This window comes from Homo sapiens, chromosome 1 (genome assembly GCF_000001405.40).
Source record: "Homo sapiens chromosome 1, GRCh38.p14 Primary Assembly".
In the NCBI taxonomy this organism is placed as follows: domain Eukaryota; kingdom Metazoa; phylum Chordata; class Mammalia; order Primates; family Hominidae; genus Homo; species Homo sapiens.
Genome location: NC_000001.11, coordinates 200,301,917 through 200,307,916, shown reverse-complemented (window position 1 = coordinate 200,307,916; position 6,000 = coordinate 200,301,917). Strand labels below are relative to the sequence as shown.

General features: G+C 42.7%; 2 annotated features.

Annotated features, from left to right (window-relative positions):
• Positions 5,211-5,428: a silencer, noted in NCBI's record as "fragment chr1:200271617-200271834 (GRCh37/hg19 assembly coordinates)". NCBI's record gives its function as "represses an EF-1alpha promoter that drives an FKBP-Casp9 reporter gene in an ReSE screen in HepG2 liver carcinoma cells {active_cell/tissue: HepG2}" and the evidence as "EXISTENCE:reporter gene assay evidence [ECO:0000049][PMID:32094911]".
• Positions 5,454-5,643: a silencer, noted in NCBI's record as "silent region_1669". NCBI's record gives its function as "represses an Ori minimal core promoter by ATAC-STARR-seq in GM12878 lymphoblastoid cells {active_cell/tissue: GM12878}" and the evidence as "EXISTENCE:reporter gene assay evidence [ECO:0000049][PMID:35858748]".

Genomic DNA, 6,000 nt, shown 5'->3' with positions numbered 1-6,000 from the left:
ATAGAAAGTGGGACATGGATGGGCTTCAAGACGTCCAAATTTATCTACAAAAAACTATTGTGTATGTGTTTTTTTTTTCTGGAGAGAGGATTCAGGCTTTCATAATATTCTGCAGGCTGTGAGCTCCTCTTTCCCCATTTAAGAAGCATTCATGGGCCCTAACATAAATACAATAGGAATATAATTTGCAGCAAGAATTCTCCTTTCCTCTCCCTGAGATGTATTTCCTTATAAGGCCGAGAGGTGGCAGCATAAACACCAGCCTGTAGCAGCCCCATTTTCCTGACGGTGGAAAACTTTTAAAGGTGAAATTTATCTATGTGAGATCCTGTCAATAACCTTGATTTGGCTTGGATAGATTGTGGACATAATGTCCCATCAAACTGCCCTAAAATATTCGTAGAGGAGTAGCGTGAGATTGAATCAGCAGTCCTGGACTTTGAGGTCACAAAAATTGAAAGACAACGTTTTGTTAGAAGTTGAGCACCATGGAGAGAAAAGCACAGAGCTTGATTATTGGTTGACTCAGAGGCATTTACATATTCCATATCAAATCAAATATAATTTCTTGAGTGGCGATTAGTATTTTATTTTACTACATAGTATCATTGTTTAAATAGTATATAAGTTACCCTAAGAGATTACTTATTCTGAATAGGAAAATACTTTTGTTTCTTGGAACCAACAGCCAAAAGATCTCTTTCAGTTCTTGTCCTTAGGTGACTGAGAATAACAGAAAAAGGAAGTTGTTTTGCACATGTAGATTCTGTGGATTTTTATTTTGATAATTAAGTATCACTTTCATTTCCTGTGAAAGTATGAGAAGCATGGATGCAGAGGCATGCTACAATTTTTATGCACACTGGATAGTTTTTTTCTTCTTTAAACATGTCTAGCCAATTCAAATATGAGAATTTTACGTAGCTGGTCAGGCACGGTGGCTCACACCTGTAATCCCAGTACTTTGGGGAGTTGAGGTGGGCAGATCACTTGAAGTCAGGAGTTAGAGACCAGCCTGGCCAACAAGTTGAAACCCCATCTCTAATAAAATTACAAAAATTAGCCAGGCGTGGTGGTATATGCCTGCAGTCTTAGCTACTTGGGAGGCTGAGGCAGGAGAATCACTTGAACCCGGGAGGCGGAGGTTGTAGTGAGCCAAGATCGCACCACTGCACTCCAGCCTGGGCGACAGAGCAAGACTCTGTCTCAAAAAAAAAAAAAAAAAGAAAAAAAAGAATTTTAAGTAGCAGACTCTAGGTCTTAATATGGTTTATGATTGTAAATGTCTCAGGATAGACTCATTTGTTTAATGGGGTATATGATGTGATGCTAGTAATTCTTAGTGATGAAATTAAGCCTGTGTTTAAATCTTAAAGAAGTCAAACATCCAACTTTAAAATAATTATAGCTGGGCATTGTGGCTATATCCCAGCACTTTGGGAGGCCAAGGCAGGTGTATCACAAGGTCAGGGGATTGAGACCATCCTGGCTAACACGGTGAAATCCCGTCTCTACTGAAAATACAAAAAATTAGTAGAGTGTGGTGGCACACGCCTTTAGTCCCAGCTACTCGGGAGGCTGAGGCAGAATTGCTTGAACCCAGGAGCCGGAGGCTGCAGTGAATTGAGATCATGGCACTGCACTTTAGCGTGGGCGACAGCGAGACTCTGTCTCAAAAACAAACAAAACAATCACTAGATGGGCTTAGATGAGACAGATTTTGCCTATTATTTGTATTCCTTTAGAAAGTTTCCATAAAATTCATAATTATTAGGTAACAGAAAGCATGTATGCACACACAACTTCACAGTTTCAGGCTATTCTATGTGGGAGAAGATGATAGATATGAAGGGCCTGGTGGCATTTGACAAACAGAAGCAATGCAAATTTTGTGGGTGGAATACAATTTGAGAACTATTTGCCAGCTTGTTTTGGTTCATTTTTCATAGTCCAGTTCAATCTGTGAAGTTCCCTTGAAATGTAAGATAATCTCCTGGGGTGAAACAGGAACAAAGTGTTTGCATTATGAGTCCAGCTTCTCTCAGATAATTAGTAACTTTAGAAGGGCCATCAGTTGATCAATTAATTAATCAATCAATTATTACTTATTTGGACATCTATTTATTATCTAGTTCTCTGCTAAGTGTTGTGAGGAATATGGGAGAAATTTAATGCATAATCTCATACTTGCATCCATGTTACCTTCTGTGCCTTCATATGTGGGGTAGGGAGAAGGAAGTGTGCTATAGGAAGCCATGGATAGGCAGGGGTGTCAAACGGCAATTTTTTAGGTGTTTTAACATAAACACTTCTGCCGGGTGCAGTGGCTCGCGCCTGTAATCCCAGCACTTTGGGAGGCTGAGGCGGGCTGATATCTTAAGGCCAGGAGTTCGAGACCAGCATGGCCAACATGGTGAAACCCCGTCTCTACTAAAAATACACAAATTAGCCTGGCGTGGTGGCATGTGCCTGTAATCCCAGCTACTCGGAAGGCTAAGACAGGAGAATCACTTGAACCCGGGAGGTGGAGGCTGCAGTGAGCCGAGATTGCACCATTACACTCCAGCATGGGTGACAGAGCGAGACTCCATCTCAAACAAAAAAACAAAAAAACATAAACACTTCTGTCTCACTTTCTGAAGAACCTCTCCGATTGAGAAGGACTAAATGCAGCCCTTTTCATTTGCCTATTCCCCCTCTTCCTATTAGTCCAGGTGCCTGACATACCTGGAGTTCCTTTTATAAAATGTTTTCGTTAAATAAAAATTAGTCCAGATGGGTCACAGTTTGAACAGTCCTTAGACTACTAGCTTGACTGTCTTGTTCTCAAGGGTAATGTTTGTGTGTACTTTTTCTCCGTTAGCTCTGCCTCAAGGGAAAGAAAGCACATATAAGGCTTGTCAAACATGCAGTTCTTCTGGCAGCTTAGAGCCTGCTGGGGTGCATGGTTGTTTTTGGGGGGCAAGGGTGGGGCTCAAGTAATAGTAGAATAGGTTTGGACTGGGTGGCCCTTTCTTCTGAGCCTTGAATCTACTTCCAATGCTGCAGGAATCTATACCTAGGGGACTACTTTTAAATACTCCAGGTGTGTTGGGGCTAATGGGGAAGCTGACTCAACCAAGATAAACTGTACCACACTTTGGGTTATAGCTCCCATGGGGGAAAAAGGGGTATTTCTGGAAGCTTTTTATTTAGTATAGTTTCAGAATTCTGACATGATGTCTACCCTTCCAGTTATTTAAAACATTTTTATTTTTTTTTTTAGCAAAATGACTTTATAAAATTCACAAATAGCAATTAGAGCCAGCTTCTTCTTAATTCTCTTAAAAAATTCTTATGGTGGATCTTGACATCTCAGTTTTATTTGATCTAAAATTATTCCATATATTAGATGGTTTAAATCACCAATTCCTAAAGTGTAATCCTGGAAATACAAATTCCACAGTGTATTAATAAATCTTGCTTGGAAAAGGGTTCCACATCCAAATAAATTTGGAAAATGCTGGGCTGGGCCAAGTTCAGCAAGTTTCTTGACTGAGAGTCTTAATGTGAGATGTAATCCTCAGAGAGAGAATGTGCCAGGTTTCCCAGATACACTGGCCAGCTTCTTTCCCAGAGAGGAGCTTGCAGAACTGGTGTTCTAAGAACCGCATCTTGGGAAAACACTTGTTTATAGATTCATTTGTGTTTGAAAAGATTTAGTACAGAGGAAAAGTGGACACAGGGAAGGCAAAAGACTGTAAAGGGGTTTATTTTGGAGGGCGAACGGCATGAATTGGCATATCATTTTGGAAAACCTGATTTTTTTTTTTTTTTTTTTGAGGATCTCAATCTGTTGCCCAGGCTGGAGTGCAGTGGCTCATTGCAGCCTCAACATCCCAGACTCAAGCCATCCTCCCATCTCAACCTGCCAACCCCCTCAGCACTCCCAACTCCCTTCCCCCCACCCCAGTAGCTGGGACTACAGACATGTACACCACCATGCCTGGCTAATTTTTTTTTTTTAAATTTTTTATAGAGACAGGTGTTTGCCTTGTTGCCCAGGACTTAGGGAGACACAGGACCACTGACCCCCTCTTGCATTCTCTCACCATTTAGTGTCTGCTGTGAGCTGGGCGCTCTGTAGTGTGTCTGTGCATATGTGCGTGGATGGGACAGGGATCTAGACATTGTAAAAAAGCTGCATTGTAAAGAACTCTTGGGCTCAGGCAATCTGCCCTTCTTGGCCTTTCAATGTGCTGGGATTACTGGCGTGAACCACTGCGCCCAGCCTGGAAAACCTCTTTTAACTACACATTTTATTTTCTGGTCACTAAAAAGTAACCTAAGACCAAAAAGGCAACAGACAAACCTAGAACACATTATAAGAAAATGCATTTTATAACTTTTTTAAAATGCATTTAGGACAACAAATTGGTGAAAATATAAGGAAGCACTGAAAACAATGCATATTTTCAGGCGCAATTTAAAATAAGGATCTCATTAAGATTCATGTCCCAAGAACATTTTTATTTCTAAAATAGGCTTGGTTCAGCTGAGGCTTTTTATGTATAATTTAACAACGGAAACCATAACAACAATAATGTATGGATAGGAAGAGTTTCTTCTCTTGAATGAACAAATTAGGTCATCATCAAGCAGTTTTATTTAATGGGAATCCCCCGTGAGGTATTCACATAGTGAGAAATAGTTCTTCTCCCTTTAGAGATGAACGCTGAAAAGAACATTCCACTCCATTTCACACAAGAGTGGAAGGGTGCAGTGAAAATTGGGAACGTGTTAATTCCTGACAGTGATGCTGGAGTGCGTCCGCCAATCCAGCTGTCAGCGCTGTTAGGAGCACGGCCGAGCCTGCAGCCACTACGTTCTGTACTTGTGCTAGGTCCGAGCGTTTGAAGAAAAGATAGCAGTTTCTCCCTTGCTCCCTGCTCCGTGGTTCCAGAGCAGGTCTCTGATTTGGAGCTTATTAATAGCTTTCCATAATAAGATCATCGATAAAATTCTGAGCACCCAGTGCATCTACAGTGTAAGAATTCTTACCAGTAGGGTGACAGCACAAAGGAAACTGAGGTTCTAATTTTGACTCCCCACGGGCGATAGGCATCTCCTCTTAAAAATCTGCGTGGTGCAGAAGGCTGGACTCGCGGTGCTGGGGATGACCTTGGAAACATCTCCAGCACCTTTCTCAGCAAGTCTAGATCTGCAACTGGGAGGGGAGGTTTTGCCGTTGATGGTGTGTGCAGCACCGGGGGAGGGAAATCCTGAGTTGAACTTCCTTCGGAGAGAGCCTAACCTTTCTACCAGGTCCCATGCTCCGGACAGGTATTCTTTGAATGTGTAAATTGAAGTCACGCTAAAAGTGACAATGCCGACCGGACTTGTGTACCTAATGGGATTTTGCAGTATAGACGAGGTTCTTTTAGGCAAGACTGTCAGGAGAGCGAACGCTCATTTTCGGTTTTGTTTTGCAAAGGCTTGCCACCCAGGGGGAGCTAACCTGCTCTGCCGGGGGTGCGGGGCCGGGCGCAGCCGCTCCGGGGCTCCCCCCTCCCGGGTCGCAGCAGCCGGGGGCGCGCGGAGCTGCGCCACGGTGAGGTTGCATCTCATGTTAATTGCTTTAACCTCTGGTAGTTTCAGCGGTTGTTGGCAGAAAGATTCGGGCTACAGTGCGTTATGGGATAAGGCTTCGGATCGTGCTCACCGGGGAAACAATGGGCTGGATTTTGAGGAAACCGACCCAAGACGTTCATTAGCCGCTTAGACACTCGGGGCCCTTTGCAAATATTAACATAGCCTGTGTATAAACTCCCAAGGGCAGGAGCTTCGTTGTTTGGTACGCGTTTTTTTTTTTAAATTAAAATAACGTAGTGCAGCGCCATGTTGAGTATTTAATAATTCCTTGAGAAAGTATTTTGGGGGAAAGGCTGATCAATAAAGAAAACGGAATTTCTTCCCCCCCGCCCCCGTCCCCGCATGCTTTTCTTCTGCATTTTACACTTA